Source organism: Homo sapiens, chromosome 1 (genome assembly GCF_000001405.40).
Source record: "Homo sapiens chromosome 1, GRCh38.p14 Primary Assembly".
In the NCBI taxonomy this organism is placed as follows: domain Eukaryota; kingdom Metazoa; phylum Chordata; class Mammalia; order Primates; family Hominidae; genus Homo; species Homo sapiens.
In genome coordinates, this window is record NC_000001.11 from 101895686 (window position 1) to 101921152 (window position 25467).

Below are 25467 nucleotides of genomic sequence, written 5' to 3' on the forward strand. Positions count from 1 at the left end.
TGGCTTCACTACTATTAGGCTGTTCAATTAATTCAATGGGCTATGAACAGATTTATAATTGAAATGGAAGAGAATAAAATACATCAGATTGAACTTTATAATTTTTATGTTACACTGCAAATGAAAAACTTGCAAAATTTTCAGTGTTTGTATGAATGTGTATGTATATGCTTGTGGTAAATATATTACTTTTATTACTTACTCTGGTTTTTATTTGAAAAGTTTTAAAGCCTAGAGCAGGATTTCTCATGCAAGAGTTACCAAATAATCCATTTAAAACATAGGTAATAATAATAATAATAATAATAATAATAATAATAAAAGTATGCATAGTATTTGCTTATATCGATTTATGTAATAAAATATACACGTACAAAGATATGCAACAATAATTTATAAAGATTAGGAATAAATTTATTATTCATTTTACTTTACGTAGTAAAAATGCCAGAAAGTTCCAGTTAAATAATACAATTTAAATAACATTAACATGGCACATGCACCTGCTTTCCTGAATTTAAACTGACCAGGTTGTGTTTAATAATATGAAGCTGTATTAGCACCTTTTAATTTTCAGTTGCTATTGATTTTATCTTTTAATATTAAGAATGTTGTGTCGTCCTTGAATCACTGTGAAAGTCATTCAGTTATTATGCACATTTGCCATGGCACTTGTTACTAAAAACTGCAGTAAGCTGATACGTTCTAAGAGTGGACACAGTTCGTGCACTCACAATTTGAACATGATATTTACTGCAGTTGTGCAGGACGTTTTTATTTTTCAATTTAGCATGCTTACACACTTTTTTTTTTTTTTTTTTTTTTTTGAGACGGAGTCTTGCTCTGTCACCCAGGCTGAAGTGCAGTGGCGCGATCTCGGCTCACTGCAAACTCCGCCTCTCCGGTTCACGCCATTCTCCTGCCTCAGCCTCCCCAGTAGCTGGGACTACAGGCGCCGGCCACCACGCCCGGCTGATTTTTTGTATTTTTTTTTTTTTTTTTTTTTTTAGTAGAGACGGGGTTTCACCGTGGTCTCGATCTCCTGACCTTGTGATCCGCCCGCCTCGGCCTCCTGCTTATACACTCTTAACCCATACAATATTTCCATTCTCTGATCTCTTTTCTATCTGAACTGATGCATAACTTTTGTTTTATATCATTCCTTGGCTTCATTTGACTCTCACTCAGAACAAATGCAGTAGAAAACAACAAGTAATTGCAAACAACAAAATTCTTAGGAGAAAAGATGCTCACAAAATGATCCAGAACACGAGTGGATTAATTCCCTTTGCGCTTATCTTTGAAATACAGAACACAAAACTTAACATCTGTCATAGAACCTTCCAGAATGTATTCATAGAGCTTAGGATGTCCATAAGTGCTAATGTGGAAATCCTGATCTAGATAATTTCTCCACATTTTGTAACTGCAGGTGTGTGTGTGTTTCATATGTACCAACTACCTGTAGAAAAGTAATCTGTGATAAGAAAAATATTGAAAGAAATCAAATGTTTATGCAGGAATTATACATATTCAAAATTAATACTATCTCTATGCTAAAAATAAATAAATGCCTATAAAATATTTTAAAATAGATACCATTACTAACACAAGACAGCAATTATACTGTACTTATAACAAAATATTCTTTCTAAAACTTACTAGAATTCCGACAATTCTAGTATGTATACAATGAGCTTTGTAAAATGGTTAAGTTTTACATGGCAGGAGAACACTAAATTGCAATGCTAAGTGAACGCTACTCCCTAATTTTAGGTTGTGAATGCCAAATTATAATGATCTCTATTTACTCTCTTGAGAAGTTACTAGTATAGCCCTCAAGTGAACATAAGAGTGAAAAACAGTGTAAATTAATGGTACTAGAGTGCATATTTTTTAAAAATCAGTTTGCAACCACAAGAATTCATGTGGGTAATGAACCATACATTATGAAACATGGCACTAAATGTTTAAATATAATATTAGAAACAGCTATGATTTACCAACTTTTAGAAAAGTAAATAACATTGTTCTACATTAAAATATGAAATAAATCTAGGTTTGATTTAATCTGGGATACATTGCTGAGGATATTGATTAACATAATCCAAGTAACTCATGTGATGCAAAGTGGAAAATAATGATTTCTAGAGTAAACAGAACTTTTAAGATTATTATTAGAAATACAGTTTGTAAGATCACAAACAAAAACACTTCCTTTTTCTAAGGCAACTTTCCAAAATTTCTTATAAGTCATATAAACAATTAATATGTTTTGACTGAGGATTGACTCTTAGCTTGAGGTACCATGTGTCTGAAGGCAATTTTTATTATATTCTCCTTCTAGACATTTATTTTATTTATTTGAATTGGGATAAGAAAAATTTTTAAAAGAAATAATTCACCCTTCCTTAATATTTACCTACAATAGAATTATCCATAGCTTACTGAAAAAAAGTGTTTTGGAGAAGTTATCTCATATTTTCAGTTTTAGAAGGATGAGTTTAAAAAACTGATTATTTTTGAGCAATCATTATATAGAATATAATATTGAGTGGAATATCTGAGTTGGGTAATATAATCTCCTTTTGACTGATCAGGAAACTGTGGTTATGTAGTAAGGTTGAGCAACTCACCCAACATCATATAACTAGTAAGTGGCAGATTGAGGATTTAGTTTCTGATGGATTCCAAACGCATACAGCTTTATCGTGAAGTGTATCAAAACTTTGAAATTATAGTGGGTGGTTAAACATAACTGTAAATGGTGTTCAGACCTGACTTCTCCATGTTTAAGGGGTTCTATTTAATCTTGAGCAGTTTGGGGAACTAATTTATATCAGCAAGTATGCATTTCCCATAAAATAAAAAATAGAATTGAGGCCGGGCATGGTCGCTCATGCCTGTAATTCCAGCACTTTGAGAGGCCAAGGTGGGTGGATTACTTGGGGCCAAGAGTTTGAGACCAGCCTGGCCAACATGGTGAAACCCTGTCTCTACTAAAAATACAAAAATTAGTCAGGCATCGTGACATGTGCCTGTAGTCCCAGCTACTCAGGAGGCTGAGGCATGAGAATCACTTGAGTCTGGGAGGCAGAGGCTGCAGTGAGCCAAGATCATGCTACTGCACTCCAGCCTGAGTGACAGAGCAAGACTGTGTCTCAAAAACAAACAAACAAACAAAAAAAACAGAATTGAATGACAGCAGTACAAAATCTTGAACATGTATTTAATTCACTTATTCAGCAATTCATTCATTCATTATGCAGGTGGCATGCAGTACACAGAAAAAAAGCAATTATATGAAGTATTTATTGTTGTGTAACAAAGTACCCCAAAACTTATTTTCTTTAAACAACAAACATTGATTATCTCACAGTTTCCGTGCCAGGAATCTGGGTACAGCTCAGCTGGGAGGCTCTACCTCAAGGTCTCTCACAAGTCCACAGTCAAGACTGGAGTTGTGATCATATCTGAAGGTTCAAATTGGGGACGATCGGCTTTTAAACTCAATCACATGGTTATTGCTAGAATTCAGTTCTCCACTGATTGTTGGACTGAGGTGTCATTTTTTTCACTGGCTATTGGCCAGAGGCTGCCCTTAGTTTCTGGCTATGTAGGCCTCTCCCTAGGGAAGCTCACAACATGATAGCTTGTTTCCCTCCTGGCAAACAAAAGGGAGAATAAGAGCAGATGAAAGAGGGAGAGGAGGGGCAAGACTGTAGCAAAAGTGTCTTTGAAACTAATATTTAAGGCATAATTTTATCACTTTTGCATATTCTATTCATAAAAGGGAGTTACTAGGTGGACCCCCACACTCAAGCAGGTAGGATTCCACAAGGACATAAATACAAGGAATTTGGGAGATAGTGTAGAAATTGCCTACCATAGCAATTAACATGTGTTAGTTGCTGGTAAACGTTTGACATTTGAATTGCATAACTTTTATATCATAAATTCAATCTATAGGAATTTCCTCGCAAAAATAACTAGAAAGACAAAAAATTCTAAACATTCTTATGTAAGAATAATTTGAATTGTAAAAAAATACAAAACTGTTTGAACTTTCAATAAAAATGGAATGAATAAATACATTTAAAAATTTAATATGTAAATAAATAATTTAAACTGGAAAATTTATATTTTTTAATTTAACATTTAACACATAAGTTACTTATTTAGCTTCATTCTTTGTTTTAATGTCAGCTCTTTGTTCTAATGTTAGCTTCTTGTAATGTTATTTCTTTGTTCTAATTTTAACTTCTTAAGGAACCCTTTTCTGTCATATTATTACCCTAGAATTATAGGTAAGGTAGTGGAAGTTGAATTGTCACAAGAAATTACAAGATCTTCACTTGAAATATTATAGGATATTCCCTTATTCTGCCTAATTACTTTTCCTATCACTTATCATAGCCTGACATTATATTAATAGTACTCATGAGTTTATTTATATGTTTGATGTTTCCCACTAGAATGCAAATTCTAGAATGGCAGGAAGTTTGTTTGCTTTGTTCATTTCTGTGGTTCAATCATCCAGACAAGTCCATGAACACAGACTTGAAAAATATTCTGAAATTTTTCTGAAGAAATGAATGAAATCTATGGATAGACTCGTATGAGAACACAGAAGAAAGGTAGTTAATGAGCCTGCAAGCCCTTGGCATGTTTGATTAACAAAGTTTTCCCAGAGGAAGTAATATTTGAGCTAAAATGAGATGGAATAAGGGAAAGGGAAGGCTTCCCTGAAGCAATAGAGATATCAATCTGTACATATATTTGATCTCATATGACAGCTCATGATCTGGCATAGAGAAGGCATTCAGTGGTTTGAAAATTGGCTATTGGAGATAAAGAGAGACAAGCTAATTTAGTGTAAAGGCAAGAAAGTGTTTGGCCTGGACAAATCATGGGGTCAGAGCTAAAAAGTGAAAGAAGTGAATCTAGGAAGGAGCTGATAAAGTAGAAAAAAAATGGTAGAGTTAGTGGATTGGAAAGCTAAATAAAGTAAAGAAAATATATGAAAGAGTTGAATTTGGGATATGATATTATGATTGAGATGTAAAGGATATTTGAGGTGGCAAGGCCAGAATAAGACATGAAAATGGGTGGCTAAAGTGGATTGGGGATAAAGGTTAATGGCATCTATTTTGAGAACATCCTAAAATATTAACTTTACAGATTTACTGCAAATTTAGAAATTCCTTTCAGAAGCGGGTGCCTATATTTAAATAAATTGTTAAACCTGTTCAAAAGTAAAGTGAAATGCAATAATTGGTTATGATATTTTTGGATTCTCTATGACCTTTCTATTTATCTTTAATCATATTCCTAGTAATAAGTCAATTTCAATAATATAATTTATTATTGTTCCTCAGAGCCTACTATATGGTATGAGAGTTACAAAGAAAAATGAGATTTCCTCACTTAACAAACTGGTTAAGACTACTACTGGCTAAGACCAGCACCCCTGCTGGTTTTCTAAGAAGTTTACATTCTAAGAAGTTTACATTGTTTGGGACATGCAAAATAAACAGCTGTCATACTGTTGGAAGAACCAGGGAAGACTTCAGAAAAATTGTATTTGAGTGGGTCTTGAAGAATACATAGAATTTTATCAATCATATAGGACAAAGTAGAATTTCAGATGGAGACAAAAACCTAAGAGAAAATAGTGGAGACAATCAAATGAGACAAGCATTTGAGAAACAATGAGTACTGTACATGGGACATGGAATGTCCTTACATATGGGTATAGAGATTTAGAGCTGGAACGGTGATATAGAGAATAAGGCTACAGGAATAAGAGTCGGGACTTAAATGAGTCTGAAAGTTTTCAAGATGACAGGGGACACTGTCAGCAAAACGTAAAATGGAAAAGGAAGTAGATTAGATGCAGAAATACCAACTAGGAGGCTATCGAAAAAGTCCAGCAAGGACTAATAAGAGCCTGAACTAGAATAAAGGAAGTATGAGTGGGGAAGAATGTGGACATGAGAAATATATGGTGATTTACAGACCTGACAGATAATTGACTATGGGGCAATTGCAAAGGATGGTGTTAAAGATGACGACTAAATTTCAACTGGGAGAACAGTGGTACTTCAATAGAAACAGGAGAGTCAGTGGAAAAGTAATAGGTATAATAAATTGATATTTTCTGATTTGATTTAAATGCTACAGGTAAATCAAAGTGGAGAGGTAAAACATTCAATTTAAATTTTGAGCTACAAATTCAGAAGTGAGGTCATAATAAGAATTTCATATTCAAGAATCATCTGCGTGGAGATGAGATAAAAAAACTTCAGAATGAATGAAATTATTAGAGAGCAACAGGGTTAAAAATAGAACTTGTCTCTGATGAGAGATATTACTATTGAAAGGTGAAAGGAGGAAGGGGAAATAGAACTAGATATAGAAAAGGAATAAATTTCCAAATAGCTATGAAAAAAAGAGAAGTAAATGATGACTGTATGACGTGGAAGCCAAATAGGGAGGGAGTGCAAGAAGGAGGGCATGGTTGGTGAAGGACAACCATAGTTAGGAGAGAATAATTTCAAAACAATATTCAAAAGATCTATTCGATAGAATAAGTCCACACTGAATCCTGATTATAATGGTTAAATTTGAGAAGTAAGTACTTCTGAGAAAGTGGTGACATCAAGATATGATCTATTTCCATAAGCTTGGCAGCAAGACAGGGGGACAGATGGTGTGGAAGCTTGGAATAGTAGCATCACAGAGAGGAAATGAAGAAATTGAGCATGTTTGCCACCCAAAAGGGAAGGAACTAAGTAGTAGAGAGGGAGACATTAAAGATGGAAATGAAACTAAGAGGAACTAGGAAATTTAGAATAATCAAGGGACCAAAACTACACATTAAAAGAGAAATGTTTATAAGAAAGATGGTCTCAGTCAGGTGTACAAAGAAAAGAAGTGGAAGTTCTGTAAATAATTGATATGTTAAACAAACACCACTTGGTTGGTTCTAACTGCAGTAATCAATTTAAAAATAGCTACTATTTGTTTAGGGGTTACTATTTTCCAGGAACTGTGCTTAACAGCGTACGTATACTATCTCATTTAATCTTTCCAACAGCTCCATGGAGTATGTACTATAAATACCCCCATTTTAAATGTAGGAAATTGTATCATTAGAGAATGTAACTTATTCAAGGCTGTCTGTGAGAGTTATATCTGTGAATCAAACTAAGACTGGCTCCCAAGCCCATACTCTTGACCACCTTGCTGGGTGAGTGGATTGAAATATGAAGAATCACCACTGTATGAAGGATAAAAGGGATTTTTCCAGCAGCAGTGGAAATCCACTTGACAGCTTGGCTTTCTAATGTGTTGTATTTAGTGTGGTTTTGTGAGTACTTCCAGAATGTGATAACAAAGATAGTAGATAATTTCATGACTTGGAAACAAGCATTATAGAAGGGCAGGGAAAAGAAAATTTCAAGGTGAGAGTTGTCATATGTTTTAAATGACTGACACTGGAGTCCAGTCTGAATGGAACAGAAGGGAAGCCCAAAGAGAGTGGCTAATTGAAAGCACAGGGCATAAGCAAGGGCCTGGGCAACACAAGAACAAAGACAATTGTTAGGTAGAAGAGAATAAAGAACTGTATTAGAGAGGAGTTTAATTCTTTCAAAAGTATTTATATGTCAAACTGATGACACTAGGATAAGCTTAGGATATTCAAAGGTTAATTAGACATAGTTCTGCCTGAGAGAAAGATTTAATACCAAGGAAAATGAGTGGAAATTGGGGTTGCTGCAGTCATGGAGCTAAGGAACTGAAGCCACAGATAGGCAGAAATTTTAGTCCGTGCATGATGTTAACTGTTGAGTTTGTAAGGCTTATAATATTGACTTTAGTAAGGTTGTATGCTATATAGTTTTTATTGCTTTTGCTATTTTATACTTTGTTTATGATTAGTGACACTTAAGAACTGCTTGTTTACAGATTCTGCTAAAATCTATGTTTCCTGCATGTCCTATCAAAGAAAAACAATCCTTGAAACCATTTTGTAAAAATACAGCTTTATATATTTCAATGCACGTCCTTCTTAAGGAAATTTGGTATCTGAAAAACTGAAACAAAACATTGTGATATTTTAAGCAGAAACAAAGATTTTTTTACCATTATAATACTTATACATGGCAATACATTATTTTTAGTTATTATTTTTAAATGACTGATTACAATAAGGAAATATGATTGTGTTTGATTTATTAATATGATACTGGACACCTCTAAATTTATTAACAAAGTAATTTTTATTACTTTTTTATTCAGAGTGCTTTGGATACAGGAACAAAGTATCCCTTTATTTCAACAAAACCAAACTTTTTCAAACCTTGCCTTTTCCATAACAACTATTATTTACTAGAGAATATGGGCAATTGTAGGGAATTTTTTGTTGACTCAGTCATCCTTATAGTTTGCCAAGTTATAGTTCTTTATATTGAATAGCCCACAATAACGCACTTTCTTGAAGAAACTGTTTAAGATCATCAAAAAATAAATGGAAGAAGTTAAAAGAAAATGTTCTTGAATGATTGAAGATGGGAGAGGATATGGTCAGGGTAAATTGGAACAGAACTCCAAAACTAATCATGTCAGGCAGGAGGAAAAAATATCTTGACTTTATTTTAGGAACGAGTCAGAAGTTATTTGTAACATTTAGTAGGGTGGAGGAAGAGAGAGAAGTTCCATTTTTCATTTCTGAAGATGCAGCTGCTAGTGCTAGCCTGACGCATGGTCCATAATTCTACAGAAAGAGTGGATGAGAATGAGTTTGTCAATACCTAACTTTTAAGTAACTTGGAGTATATTGTTTATCCTTTAATATGTGGAGGGAAGCTAAATCTGTTTCAACACATGAATAAGTGGTTGATAAATACATGAAAACTGCAATACACAAAGCTGTGAACAGAATTGCAAAAAGCTGGTGGCCAGCAATACAATTCAATGATGACAAATGACTGTTTTCCAAAGAGATTTTCTTCCTGGAAGGTGAAAACTGATGGCAAACAAATCAAGGCAATAACTTTCTCCCTATCACTGAGAATAACTCTTACAATTATGAAAAACAGCCATCCAGAAAACATAAAATGCTGAGATGAATTCTCCTCCCACCTGTTTACCTCTACTCCCCACAGTCACAGCAAAACCAATGCCCAGCTAATGTCTCAGATAACTCCCTTTCAGCATGTGGTAGACAGACAAAACTGGTAATCTTTGGGCACAATAGAAGGTAGAAAGTGGTAAGGCCTGAGGAGTTATTTGTCAAAAATTATTGCTCTAGGGTAAGATAAAACGAACCTTTCCAAAATTTCTAAAAGAAGGTTTTGGTAGTGAGGTTGTGGCAACAAAGGATTTGATAGATGTGTACTCATCAGAACATATATTTTGTATATTTTTTAGTTTTTGTTTTTCATTAGTAAGTCTTCAATCAGCTACTCTTACTTCTGTGTACATTCTTGGACAGTCAATACCATGCCTCTTTCCATATTGCAAAACTCTAATGTAACTGTGCAAGAAAACACCTCCCCCAGTTTTGAAGCAGTGAGAGTAATGTGAAGACACGGAAACATTCATTGGATTGCAATTGACTCAATGAAACTTCCTGAAACATCAAAATCTCATTAAAAGCAGCTATTGAATAAAAATATCACTTAAGATACACTCAATGATGGAGTCAGGCCAAATGTAATTTAATACTCTGTATCCAGACTGGGTGTGAGAAACTGTTAACTCATCCTGGTGCTATATTGCCAAAAGAGTTGTTCTACTTTAGATCTATTTACTTCTTGGAGAAAGCCTGCAATTTGCTCTGTAAGGGTTCCACTGTAAATTTAAGGAAGTTGTAAAGTAAATTTCTCAGTGGGGAGTGCTCATCAAGCTAACAGCCAGTTTCCAGGGAATAAATAAAGCCTCTGAAATTGAGATGACATCACAAGGGGAAGGCGCTTTAAACATTGTGAACACTGGCTTTCAGAATTGTGATTGGTCATTAATGCCTGAAATCACAGCTGCAGTCAGTGTTTTCAAGGCAGAGTTACTGGCAGCAGCAAGGATCTATGAAAACACACACCGATTGGCCCAAATTTACCTTTAAAGTTGAAAGAATAACTCAAAACCCAAAAGAATCTGCCTCTGACTTGAAGCAGAGAACCACAATTCTCAGCAATGCAACCAGGAAATGATCTACTCTTATTGTATTAACTTTGTATGGGCTTCTTTTCTCTTTACTATCTGGTTAAATCACTAGCAATCAGTGAAGATGAGGGAAAACTCATTTTCTCACATCTCTTCCCTTTTTTAAGAAAAGCTGTAATAGGGCTGAATTTCGAATGATTTCTTTTTGAGGAGCCAGGAGAGAAATAGCTATCCTTTTCTCCACAAACTGAAGATGTTTCCTTGACTAATAAATCAATTCCATAGAAACCAGAGTCTAGAGTCTTGGAGAAATGCCTTTTATAGCTCCAGTTTTTTTTTTAATGTTTGATGATACTTTACTCTGATTTCTTATATCATCACTAAATTATTGAATTGGAACAAACATCTGTTTACAAATGACACAGACCTAAGTTTAATTTTATGCCTAGACACAGTGAGAAAATTCAAATATCTGAATAAAAATGGTATGTCTCAATATTTTCAGCTGTGCATTGCCTCTTAAGTATTCTCATATTTTATTTCATATCTTTTATGTTACCAAAGAGATTATCTTAGAAATAATTTATTTTAATGCCCTCATTGTACATGTAAGAAAACTATGGCCCAATGAAGTTAAACTGATTTCCATGATTAGAAAGATAAATGGTCAAGGACTTAAGTTCCTTTGATTTTAGCTTAGTAATCTTTTCATAATTATAAGTAAGTTCTGTCATATTTGAAAACAAAACAATAAAACCATGGAAGAACCTAAGATTTTCCAGTGCCCACAAATGTAGAGCAAGTATCACTCTTTTATCCTAAGCAACGGCAGTCTGTAGATGAAGATTACACAGTCTTGACAAAAGCTAAAATGAAATGGAAAACTACTACAATCATTTGGAAATCTGACAGCTAGACTCATTCAGTGGACTATCATCATCAGTGACCAGATTTTATACATACATGTATGAATCATTCACATACAAGCATTTCAAATATGACACACATGAATACATATATGCACACATACACAAACATGCATGCATACATATGTATATGTTACTCTCAAACTAAGCTAGGAGAAGTCTTTGATTAGGATAATAAACCATTATTTGTCGTATTTACATTTTGTATTTTTCATAAGCACTTAATTTTGAAATTAAAATGTTTAATTTTCTAACTGTTCTCTGTGACAATAAAAAAAGATTAAAATTGAGCTACAAGATAAATGTGACTATATGACATGTGCTCTTAGACCAGGTTTCCATTACAATAGCAATGAAAGATTTTAGCATTTTTTTGCCATGGGATTCAAATAAAATCATAAACTTAATGAGATATTTGGATAATCATTTACATGCAGTAAAAGGAATTTTAAGTTTTCATCTCTGTAGAGAATATGTTTAAAATACACAACCCACATATACAAACATCAATCACTCATCAATTATTGGGACTATTTATATACAAAACCATTTTGATGACAATGCCATTCTCTGCTCTGGAAGAGCCAGGTGGTATTAAATGCAGACAATGGGATACTGGTTTCAAAACTCTGCCTCACTCCTGCTGACAGCTTGACCTTACTTGATCTTATCTGTGCAGGCTATAGAGAAAAATAACCAGGACACTCTGACTTTGATAGCTGTTTCTGTGATGCTAATTAGCAGAATTGCAGAAGCGACCCAGGACACCAGGTAGGGATAGCAAAGAGGGGACGGAGATGATGTCAGAGTATGTTCCAAATTGTACATTTGTAAATATTCATTTTAAAGTTTTCAACATTACATGTCATTAGCATTACTGCAATGCCAAAGCTCTTTTGAATACTGTCTGCTCTAAGGCTAACTTGTAATGAAGAGACAAAAGTCGCTAATCAGTCTGGGATATTTCGTGGTTACCTACTTTGAGTTCAGAAGATTCTTTTTTGCAAAAGGCGAAAGGTACTTGGATTATTTAGAAAGCTCTATTTCCCTTAAAATAATCACTCAGACACTTGGAAGTAATAGTAAAAAACGTATAATTTTTTCCAGTTCAAATTAAATTGTCTACATACCTATTAGCCTCTACTCACGTATTATTATCTATATGCATCCCCAAAATATGTTAATTGTGAAAAATGTTAAATGGAGATATAATAGTTAATATTTGTGAATCTATTTAGCATTTTTTCCTCACTAAATATGTAGATACAATTCAAATTGTAACAAATACACTTTATTTTTACATTGTGTTTTATGTGTTACTAATGGATCTGCCTCCATAATTTCGTTTAATGATAGCACATGCCTGAGGAAAAAACTTTTTATCCTTATTTTACAGATGTGAGAAATGAGTCATAGGCAATTTAAGTGATTTGACCAGTAAAATGGGATAACATCTTAGTAAGAGGAATTAAATCCTTTCTCAACAGCCATATTGTTCTTGATTATGCCATATGTCAATAGCAGAAAAAATGTCTATATCTAAAAGAACAAAGGCAAAGCATTATGAGGAACAGTCCAAACCAAATTAGTAAACAGTGAGGGAGAGTAAATTATATGTGCTAAAAGCTCTTGAAATTTCACACCTTTTATTGGAAAGGTGTAGACGGAAAAACTAGGCAGACCAGGTGGTTCTCAATGGAGCAATTCTGCGCACATAGATGCATTTTGAATATTTGTAGGAGTGTTTCTGGTTGTCACAATGAGGCATAACAAAACCACAGCCTGGAATAGAAGTGGGTTAAGTGGTGACCCCCTAAAAGATATGTACATGTCCTAGACCCTGGAACCTTATTTGGAAAAAGGATCTGTGGAGATGTAATTAAGTGAAAGATCTTGAAATGAAATGATCCTGGATTATCCAGATGGGCCCTAAATCCAGTGATAAATGTTCATATAAGAGATATATAGAAGGAGGCAGCCACACAGAGAAGAGGAGGAGCCAGTGTGACCCAAAGCAGAGATTAGAGTGATTCTGCCACAAGCCGAGGAATGCCTGGAGCCACCAGAAAGCTGGAAGAGCCAAAAAATAAAGTTTCCCCTACAGGGTTTAGAGGCCATACTGTCCCCTGGATTGCAGACTTTTGGTTCCAGAACTATAAAAGAATAAATTTCTGTTATTTTAACCCACTAAGCTTGTGATAATTTGTTACAGTAGTCACAGGAAGTGAACATACAGGTATATCCCACCTTCATATTTTTGTGTCCCCCCTTCACTTTGCTTACCTTCTTTCTTTAGCTGTTGCTATGAATTTCCTGTCTCCACTCAGTTATACAATACATTTCTCACTCTGCCCTGGGGCTTCTCTGCTGCCACTTGGACATCTCTGAGAAACCACTCAGCTCAGTCATTCTGATGGCCTTGAGTGGCTAACACACACAGAGGCCACAGGTATTGCAGATCTAAGGACTGCCTCAGATAGAAAAAACAAAAAATCTCCTGAATTCCTCAAGACATTCAAATGCTTTAGGAGACATTCACATGAGCAAAAACTCTATTTGTAATTATTTGATTCTATAAATAACATTTTTTGTACAAATGAAAAGTATTTGGGCAGGCTTATAATAGACACTGAGTTTTCCATGAATATATTCATCATGTAAATTGGGGGAAGATAGATTATATTCTGTTTGGGCTGGAACTTAACTAAGACCAGTTCACTATTTTAAAAACCGTCTATGAACAAATTTAGTGTGTTTTGTTAGCAACAATATGCAAATTACCCATACCACACACTTGATTAATCTTCATTTGAAACTCTCACATTTATGGTCATTCTGCATATAAGTGTGAGCATCTAATTACTTAATTATATCTTTTAAATATTGAAGTGCTTATTATTCCATTATAATTACTTGTCATATGTCTCAATTATATTACAGTTAGATAGTTATACTGAGTTTTTAAATTTTGATGCTGGTAAGTTATGTTATTTTGAGTGTAGGCTGGCAGGTTTATTTATTTATTTTCTGAAATAATTGCTTTTGGGGACATTAAAAATGTTTGTAATTAAAAGGGTGTATACTGGTTTGAAGAATATTAAGATTTCCTGAGCTAAAACGCTATCTTTCAAGGCAGACTTGGTGTCCAGGTAAACTATAGACTCATCCAATAATCTTCAAGGTACCACATAAGCATAGCCAGAACACATCTCATCTTGCTTTATAATATTAAGGTTATTTTTCCTCCTCCTCACCTTTCCCCTCCATTCTCCTCCTCCTGCTTTCCTCCTTCTGCTTCTTCATATCCCTTGTCTCAGAGAAGCTTCAGCTTTACAGTTAAATAATCCTCTTCATCATCACAAGATGTTTATCGAGTATCTATCATGTTAAAAAGCACATTCTCGACCGGGCGCGGTCGCTCACGCCTGTAATCCCAGCACTTTGGGAGGCCGAGGCGGGCGGATCACAAGGTCAGGAGATCGAGACCATTCTGGCTAACACGCTGAAACCCCGTCTCCACTAAAAATACAAAAAATTAGCCGGGCGTGGTAGCGGGCGCCTGTAATCCCAGCTGCTCAGGAGGCTGAGGCCAGAGAATGGCGTGAACCCGGGAGGCGGAGCTTGCAGTGAGCCGAGATCACGCCACTGCACTCCAGCCTGGGCGACAGAGCGAGACTCCGTCTCAACTGAAAAAAAAAAAAAAGAAAGAAGAAAAAAAGTACATTCTAAATAGACTAAAGAGTATAAATTCAGACTTCTGTCCTCAAAAGCTTATCAACATGAACTGAAAAATATATGCGGTATACATAAAATATACTTAAAATCATGATTAGCTGTGTCAATTTCCTGGCTTTCTTCTCCAGTTGATATTTTGCATGTCTTTTTATGTTTTTCCTTGGCAGTACTTGCTTAGATTATAACGTCCTGAGGGGTTGGGATCCTATTTAAATAATTCTCTTTGTACAGATCCTAAAATAGCACAATGAAGAATTAGTACTTTAAAATTCTTTTTGATGAGGGAGTGAAGCTATGCCTAAATCCCTGATAGAAATCACTACTATTTCCAGATTACATAACAGCTATATTTAAAGCTTCTGAAATAGAGCCATTGGTAAGAACTAAGATTCAGTAATTCTTTTGGGAAACTGCATTTTTTTTTAGTCACAATCCAGAGAGGATATTCACTCAATAGAGTTATTAGAGTTATTTAGCATTGTAATGTTAAAATATTTGAAAGGAAAACGGCACAATGGCATAGTGACTCAATGGTAATATTTTATGAATTTCGTTATTATTTCATGCATAGCTACTCTGTGAGTAAAGCCATCATAAATCTAGTCATTGAATTACTAAGGAGCTCAGTGGTACCCTTTGAACAAAATGGAAGCAAATATCTGGTAGGGCAAAGGCATAATCTTCCATAACTTAAGATAAATATGGTTATATTTGGAAAAGGACAATAGAAAATAGGAAGGAAGGGTAGCAGAATATTAAAATGAGATTTTTAACTTACACAGAAAAAGTAATGAGAATTTAAAATGGAGAGTCAATACCAGAAAAGCAACATTCAAATTTAGACTCTGAGTTGAGGCCCCATTGCAAATTCAGTGGTGAGGTAAAATAGATAAATGACTGAAACCTCATGGGCCCCTTACTTGATTTTAGAAAGTAAGAAAGGGACTTACTTTAAAGATTGTGATGACATGGCTACCTATTATAATAATAATACTCTAATACAGTGGAGGAAAATAAGTGAAATTAACATACTCTGGGTCTCTACTTTCACAAGTTACCCAAGTTTAACCTCGCAACAGTCCCCAAGATAGTCAGAAAGACAACAAATACCAGTTGAGACAGCAATGAGCTTTACACATACAGTTAATGTTTTAAGGGGCTAATACATGCACAACAAAAATGTAATTTCCCAATTCTCAGAGAGGAGGAAATCCAGGCTAAACCAGACTAAGAAGCTACCACCAAACCACCAGTTTGTAAATTGAAGAAGGAAGATTATTAATTTGAATACAGGCATTTATATGAGTCTTCACACTACCTTAAACTTACAAGATTGCAAATTACTTCTTTGAACTTTCTCCCATATCTTGAATCTCCAACCTTATTTAAGTAGGTAATTGTGAAAGGAGTTTATTTAATAGTTCAAGTTGCTTTGTTATTTTCATATGGAGTACGTAAGTTATTAATATTAAAAATATCACAAGTAGTGAAGCTTTGGCAGTGAGGCATGACAGGTCCTCAGCCAGGAGAAGAAGGGGGTTTATCGAGCATCTCTGAGCTCTGTCTGACATGCCCTTGGCCCACATGCTTATTCTCGGCAATGAGCTGTGCTGGTATAACCTGACAGCACTTTTTCTTGGCTCTATCAATCACATGCCTTTTCGGGTTTCTGTGCTTAGGCCTTCTCTACTGCTATCTTTTGGAATACCTGTGGGAACCCAAGCAGACATTTGAATTCACGTATGTGCAAAGCTGAAAGTGCAAGGAGTTTAACACTTTAAATCTCAACTAATAGGAGATCTGGGCCAGAGGATAAATACTCCCCTTTTAATCATTTTATGTAAGCAGTCTGAGGTGCATTCAACATGGCTTCTCTGAAGGTCATCAGCAATAACTCCATTTGCCATCCATGGAATCTTTACAACAACCCTATGAGATAAATTCCGTATCTCTGTTTTTAAAATGACAAAACTGAAGTTTAGAGATGTAGAGCAAAATTCCAAAAGTCACGCAATTTTTTAATGAAGAACATGAGGTTTGAACTACACTTATTCACAGCAGAAATGCTAAGGGGATATAAGACAGAGGTTGAGAAAGCTGCAGAGACGCCTACAGGGAGAGAAAGAGAATCATACGATTGAGGTACTTCAAATACGACGTCTTCCAATTTGGAATGATTTGGAGAATATCTAGATGATGCCTTCTACCTACAATCTCTTATGATATTATCTAAATTTCCTCCATTAGATATTTGTTAGGTCTTCAAGATCTGTTCAAATGAAAATACCTTTTGGAAAAATTGCTATAAATTTAATGGTAAAAAGGGCTAGTTGTCAGCTGTTTGAGAGCAATAGCTTTGAAAGAGTATAATCCAGTCCTAGGATATAAAAAACACAGGGAAGGAAGTGAAATTAAAAGAGGTAAAGGAGCTACAAAGTCAAATTTCACTTTTATTTATTTTCTTTAAGGTTTGTCCTACTAGTAACTATAAGGAATATGAAATTTCAAAGCAAAAAAAGATTAATTAGTAGGAAACCCTTTTTATTTAAAAAGTCTTGAAAGTGTGTAAGGAGCAAAGCAATTTCTAAAGCAGTGCTCCATGTTTAGCTTTCTAAGTTTAGTTAGGATATAAAGAAATAATTATACATCTGACTTAGTCATAATTGCACCATCTTCCCTCTCATGAAAGGCTACAGATTATGTAACTGCAGCTATTGATTTTCCACATCAGACATTTTAATTGAAAGGTTAAGATGAAACTGGATCAGCAAAGTTTGAGGTTACTAATTCTGCATTAAATAATTTGGGACTTGAACGCCCTCAACAGACAAGAGGCTAAGAATGTTATAAGAAACATTGCACTTCTTGGAAAAGGAGTATTACTATTACCAGTTAACAGAAAATATTTAAAGCTTGGACTGAAATAAAAGACATGAACTTCAAATAACCTTAGCTTATGAGTGGGAACGTTCTGCCATTATTGGATTTGCTGATTGTGATATAGACTACTACTCAAAGCCTACTTCCACTTTAGAACTGACATCATTTTTATTGACATTGATGTTAACATTTGAGGTATTTAAGTAAAGAAGATAATGTCAGAATGATCATTTAGTAACTATTGCCATCCAGAGGCTGAGTTCAAACCTTAATCCTAAAAGCCCTACAGAAAAAAAAAAAAAATCAACACTCACTATTCAACTGTCAAAAAGACTGATATCCCTGAGGCCATTAAGTGGCAATAGTAAGCAATAACCCCCATCATCATTAAGACTGGAAATCATCTAAAAATTTATCAACAGAAATACAATGATTTAAATGCTTCAGAAGAAGAAATAGATTAGGTAAATTAATATGAAATAAAAGGGACTAGGGAAGATCAATATGTTACTAAATCTAGACCTTGCTCAGAGAACCCATTGTAAAACTCCAAATATATTACCTGTATATTGAGCTAATTAATGCTACACTTGAGGCACAAAACTACAAATTAGACATGTAAAACTAAATATTTACAAGGAGACTTTCATAAAGAATTTTAATTATTTTTGTTAATATTTTCTAAGCATATCCTTCCCTTTTCAGGTATGGGGACATGCATAATTAATTATATAAACCTTAAAATGTTTATTATATGTTGTAGTGAACTAATATCTAACAGTTCTTAGTCATCCTGCAAGTCTGCCCTGACGACCCATCATCATGAAGGCATTCTGGATCCTTCTGGATAAACTGAATTGGGTTCCCATCTCTTTGCTCCTACTGTGTACTGCCCACACCCAATTTCTTAGGGCTTACCACATTGTTTTTGAAATTGTCTACTTAAATATCAGTCTCCGCCAGTAACTGGGAGCATAACTGAGGGTGGTAACCATGTTTTCTACAACTTGCTAATACTCTGTTGCCTCAGCATTGCTTTTTAGATGGCTGTATACAACAGTAGTTCTTAAACAAGTCTGAGTCCCAAATTCAGAGCTTAACCTGACTTATTTCCCACCTAAATTTCTCAGTTTTTAGAATACTATTTCAATATTATTAAATTAGCTCATTGCTTTGGAGTGATATTGCTGTGACCTGTGCCAACATAGATGTTACTTCTAATAGTGCTATAATGCTGGAAATTGTTCAAGAGTGAGAACATGATGAAGTGGGGATAAGTGCCAGAAATTAATGCTGTGTAGGTATAGCCAAAGGTGGCAAAGCCTGCATGCGGCTCTTTCCAGCCTTTAATCTGTTGTAATGGTCAAAACAATAAAAGAGTTTTCAGTGGTCTGAAGGAAAATCATTGAAGTTAAATACATGCATACTCATGGAGTCCATCTATAAAAACATATTTGACAGAAAGAAGAGGTTGGGAAATTTCTTTGTAGAATGGTAATTTAAATGCTTGACAGTTTGGCTAATGTTTGCATTATTCATCACTTAGTACTTGATGAAGATACTTCACTTTTTATCTTGATTTCATTCCTCACTTGCCCTACTAAAGTATGTATATTTCAAGTAAAGTCAGCAAACATTAACAATTTCAAGAGCTCCAAAAATTATATCGGTACCAACACTACATAAAGTAGGTTCATACTAATGCTACATTGCACACATTCAGTGTACGCAATACAACATTGCAGAAAAAGAAAGTCAATTTGATTTTTAAGCTGCAAGATATTACGCTAATATCAAATTTCATGTATAATTGGGCCATTATGCTCTTAAGATACAGAAAATACCTGAAATTTTTTGGAGTGCTTTATTTAACCAGTGGGAATTATTATTTAAATAATATACACTTCTGCTTTTTAAAAACTTGCTATAAATAATTGTACATTTAATCCTCTTGGGATTTAATCTGTTAAAAAAAAAAGCATGTTTAAAACAAGTAAAGGGCACCAATAAATAAAGTTGCATTATTTTAAGCTAAATGAAGTATCGTGCTATTGAAACAATGAAGCACTTTATCTTAAAATTCCTTATTTTTAATAGCTAGATTCTCTGCTCTTGATGAAATTAAACATAATGATAATCATTTGATACAGCTAAAATACAATATCTCTCCTCTCTTAGTAGAAATAGTTCAAAATTTCTAGAAAATAAGTTGGCAAATATTCAAAACACGAAGAAATTGATGAATGTTAAAATAAAGTAATAATCATCTTTGCAAGGTAGAATGGTTTCACGTCCTATCGCTGGAAACCACACACAGCTGAGGATATTCCAACCTTGGCATCCTTTCAGAAGTTATTTCCATATACTTGCCAAATCACTGGGAAGTTTCTATTCTGAAAATAGATCATTGTAATATCCTTAGTAAGAAGGCCCATTGTTGAATTAATGCCAGATTTATCTGTGCTGTTAAAATTATTACCCGTATTAGCACAGCTATTAATAATACTACCCTGTGGTTTTCAAAGAGCTTTCATTTGTACTGCCTCATTTAGTTATTTCAGCAACTCTGCGAGGTAAAAAGGACTAGTATTATTATCCCCATTGTATATATGGGAAATTGACACAAAAAGACCGAATTGACGCTACAAGTTACACAATGGGAAACTGTGACTTACAGATCAGGAATCTTTGTAATTTAAAAAGTAGTGGAAATATTTATTAAACATTTGTTATGGGCAGTCACTTTCATCTCCTAATAATAGTTATTGTGAATTGTGTGTTTTCTTTGTGCCAGATAATTTAACAAACCCTATCTTTAAAAGTTCAAACTTTCAAAGACAGATATTATCATTCCCCTCTTTCAGGTGAGAATGTAGTAGCCCAGTGGTGGCATAATAAATTTTAAATTCAGGTCTGTCTGACTTCCAAGTTCAAGGTCTTCCCTCTGAGATATTACTTCATTTAAATCTTACATTATCACTTTGAAGTAGGTATAATGTCTCTCCTTTTTTTTTAATTTTTATTTTTTAAACAGACCTGGAAATGATCTAAGACAGTTAATGTTACAAGAAAAGACTGGTTGAAGAATCAGCATTCTGGCTGGCTGAATTTTCAATTTTTGTGATTGTTGACAATTTTTAAAAATATATAATTAAATTTCCTGCCTTACTAGGAAGAATACAATTAGAGCAACTGTAGTTTTTGTTGAAGATGGTAGCCTTTCAACTGCTAAGGACAGTATTTTAATCTCACTTTGCAAAACATTTGTGTAAATATTGAAAGCAGCAGATGGGCTTGAATCTGTACTGATTGTCATATATGACTGAATATTCTTTTTAAACATAAATCATTAATGTCAAAGAGTTTTTGTGATTGTGAGATCTGGGTAATTGGTGTATTATTATACCCCTACTGTGAGCCAGATACTAAGCTATAGCAAAGGGGATAGACGTATGAGCGAATTAAGCACATGAATTAGATTTTACAATACTGAGAGCATCAGAGTTCTGAACAGGATAAAATTAGATATTTAATATATTTTAGGCTTAGTATGAGGAAAAATGCTGCACTAAGCTATAAGCAATTTAATATTTAATCATAGCATAAAGAAACCACAAACAGGAAAGCAGTACAACAGATTTACATTATTTGTTAAATATAAAATAATCATCTGGATATTTTTATTTGAGGCTATTTATGTTATTTATGATTTAAGAGTACAATATTCTGTTATGTGTGCCAAGAAGAAGGTCAGAATATTTTAGAGTTAAGTCAAGAGTTAAGATCACAGTGATTATTAATACTGTTCCTAAATTGCAGTATCATCTGTTGTAGTAACAATATTGCAATGAAAGGTTGAAATAAAATACTGCATAGTTTATGTAAATAAGCACAGATTTTGTTTTGTGTAATAAGCAAACTGTTTTCAGAAAACACTATTTTAAATAGACAAATTGTTGTTAGTGTTTCTTTTTGTAAACACTGCACCAAAAATAAAAATAAAAGCCATAAATATATGGCCATATATATATATATTTTGAGACTGAGTCTTGCTCTGTTGCCCAGGCGGAAGTGCAGTGGTGGCATCCCTGCTCACTGCAACCTCTGCCTCTCAGGTTCAAGTCATTCTTCTCCCTCAGCCTCCTGAGTAGCTGAGATAACAGGCATGTGCCACCACACCCAACTAATCTTTATATTTTTAGTAGAGACAGGGTTTCACCATGTTGGCCAGGCTGGTTTCAAACTCCTGACCTCAAGTGATCCACGCATCTCAGCCTCCCAAAATGCTGGGATTATGGGCATGAGCCACAACGTCCAGCCCATAAACACTATATTTTATAAATCACAATCATTATTGTTGAAGTTTTTTAAAATATTGAATTATCTTATTACTTTTCCCATAATTAAAAATATACAAATCCTAGAATGCAATCATAGTACAAACTTGGAGAAATCAAATAATGTACTTTTCTTCTAATGTTCAGCCATTACAGTGGTATTCTCCTGAGCAGAAAAGAGCACGTAATTTATAATTATTGAGGTTTTCTTTTATTTATGTTGATAAATGTATTTATTCTGGAAAGAACATTGATTAAAAAAAACCACATTTTATCGTTCTTCCCTTTGGGAGTTTCTTTCCACAGACATCTTTATAATTACTGTTCTGGTTTTGACATAATACTTCAATACTAATTAAGTCGTCCAAAGAAATTCAACGATCATTTATTGAACAACCACTATAGGCAAGGTGCTGTGGAGATCTGTAAAAAATAAAGAGATGAAGGACATCACAACTTGTCTTCAAGGAGTTAAATTTCCTGAGGAATCTAGAACAAATTCAGCAATTGCCCTAATATATAGTGTGTTAGTTCTCTATCGCTCCTGTAACAAATTACCACAAATTTAGTGACTAAAAAGAACACAAATTAATATCTTAAGTTGTTTTGGTCAGAAGGCTGAAATAGGTATCGTGGGGCTGAAATCAAGCTATTGATGCATGAGTTCCTTCTGGAAGCTCCAGGAAAGAATTCACTTCCTTGTCTTTTCAGCTTCTAGAGGCTGCCTTCATTTCTTGGTTTGTGGCTCCCTTCCATCTTCAAAACCAGCAATTGCATCACTCCAATCTCTGTTTCCACCATATGTCTCTCACTCTGACTCTCCTTCCTCCTTTTTTTTTTTTTAACTTATAAGGTGCTTTTCCATTACATTAATCCCACTCAAATAATGCAGGATAACCTCTCCATCTCAAAATCCTTAACTTAGTCACAGCTGCAAAGTTTTTTTGTCCATGTAAAATAACATATTCACGGGTTCTGGGGATTTGAATGTGTAAATATCTTTTATTAGAGGTGGCATTCTTCTGCCTATCACACTTGTCTAAACTATGGTGAAGCCATAAATACCTTACATTTTAGATGTAAACACTGACATACTCAAAAATCCAATATTTAAGTTGTTTTAACCTATTCATATTAAAACATTTAAATATTAACAGGGAAGATGATAAGGCCAAAAGTTTATCATATGCAATTAAGTAAGCAAGAAAAATTTCCCATTTCAGGTTTCAAAAGAAATAAGCAAATCTATTGATAATGCATAGATTAAGTCTTAGTGAATAAATTTACATTTGTATTTTTAGTTCACTGTTACATATCAACCACCTAACTGTACTTTAATTTTATTTGAAAAATCTTACTATCAGAAAGCAAAAACAACTGGACAGTAGAACTTAATTTGGTTCTACAGAAATTTCTTGCGCTGACTTGTAAAACAATGAAATACTAGTTTTGAAAAAAATAATTATTAAATTATTTCATAAAAATCTTTAAATACTTTATAAAATCTTTTTATTTCACATATCCCTCTATTATCCCATTTCTCTGTTCCTTCTTAAAACAAAATGACTTGAAAAATTTTTTTGAACTTTCTATTTCCAATTTTTTTTCTCATTCTACGTTTAACCTATTTTAGTCATATTTTGCTCCCGTTATACGGAAACGTAATTTTAGTGAAAGTCACCAGTGATCACCACACTGCTAAATCAAAGATCAAATCCCAGTCCTTATTTTACTGGACCTCTCAGTAGCATTCAAAGCAGATGATTATTCTCTTTTTGAACTTCTTTCTTAATTTGACATTCAGAACCTCAACTCTCTTGATTTTCATACTATTTCACCATTCAGTCCTCAGCCACATTTACCTCTCTTCTTTAACCCCTTAACCCGCGATGATGGGGTGCCCCAGGGATCAGCCTTCGGATTTTTACTTTTCTGTGTTTCTTCTACTCATCCTAAGTGAGATTATCTAGTCTTGGGGATTTTACTATTATTTGCATGGTATTTATTCCTAAAATTTTATTTTCAGTCTGTATCTCTTCCTGGAGCTCCACAGTCATTTACCTAAACTCCCTATTTAATATGTCCAGTTGGATCTCCAGGAGACTCATAAACTCAGCATATCCTAAACTGAATTTATTATTTCTGCCCCCTTCTCTTACAGGAACAAAACAAAATTGCACAAGTAATGTTCTCTATCTCAGTAAATGGCAACTCTATTCTGGCAGATGTTCAGGCCTAAAGCATTGTAATTTACCTTGACTCTTTTCTGTCTCTTATATTTCATAACCAACCTGTCAGCAAATCCTGCCGATTGTAAACCTAGTTCCAGAATATGAACCTTCTCACCACATTCATTACCACCATTTATCTCTCACTTAGATTATTTCCCTGATTTCCTAATTGGTCTCTCTGTTTGTGTTGCTTCCCTACATTACATTTTCAAATACAATATGCAGAGTGATTCTTTAAAAATCTAAGTCAAATAATTTACCTGTGCACAACCTTATACAATTTTCCTGACTCAGTCTGAGTAAAATCCAAAGTCAGGATAGTGGCCTATAAACTCCTGCATTCTCTGGTTTTCTGTTACCTACCTGAGCTCAACTCACAGGTTTTCACATGCTCTATCTCCTTCTGGAATGTTCTTCTCTCCCATGAAGGCAGGGTATTTGTCTCCTTTATATTTTCAGTTTCAGAAATAGATGCTGGCACAGTGAAGGCACTCAGTGAATGTTTGTTAAATAGGTGAACATATTTTGTCTAAAACTAAATGTGAAGTAAAATATGTTCACTACTTTTCCTCTTAGAAAATCTGATGACAGCAAAAATGCAGAGGGTTTATTTTTCCTGTTTGTGTTTAGTACCTGATTCCAAAGGAATTTATAGGCTGAACAACAGTATGTAACCAGTGACTTGCCTGTATTTTTCAAATTAAGGATTGACAAGTGATAGAGGTATTGGGGTTAAATAAATTTCTGCTTCTGCCAGAGCTCTTGTATCAGCTGTCCTCAGAGTTGTCTCTGGTGCTTTAGTAAACAATAGAGACCCATTCCCACTGCTTTATTCACTGTCAGTCTGGCTGCTGCTAACAGCAACCAGGCAGGTCCTGCTTTTCGTTTGTTTGTTTTATATGTGTATTGACTTTCTCAAACATCTGAAAGCTATTACAATTTGTCTTTGAATTTTTCTCAAAAGTTTTTTCTTTGTGTTTTTATTACTTCTACTGTTATAAGTACAATATTCTATTAGGTTGTTTGCATCATTCACCTTCTGCTGCCCACCTTCTCCATAAGCCCAAATATAAATGTCTTGACTACTTTTCCTATTTCACTCAGTATTTTAAAGATGCTCAATGGTGAGTGGAAAATGTAATAGTTAATAATAATTACAATAAAATGTCTGGTAATCTCTTAATTAGA

At 34.2% G+C, this 25467-nt stretch overlaps 1 protein-coding gene across 4 annotated transcripts in view, besides 1 other annotated feature; it reads right to left on the reverse strand.

The window, feature by feature from the left end:
* OLFM3 (olfactomedin 3) overlaps nt 1-25467 on the reverse strand; it is a 194367-nt gene that overhangs the window by 93126 nt on the left and 75774 nt on the right. The window lies entirely within an intron of this gene.
* Nucleotides 11477-12143: an enhancer, noted in NCBI's record as "OCT4-NANOG hESC enhancer chr1:102372718-102373384 (GRCh37/hg19 assembly coordinates)". NCBI's record gives its function as "activates a minimal SCP1, AML or CMV promoter by ChIP-STARR-seq in naive H9 embryonic stem cells {active_cell/tissue: H9 hESC(naive)}" and the evidence as "EXISTENCE:reporter gene assay evidence [ECO:0000049][PMID:30033119]".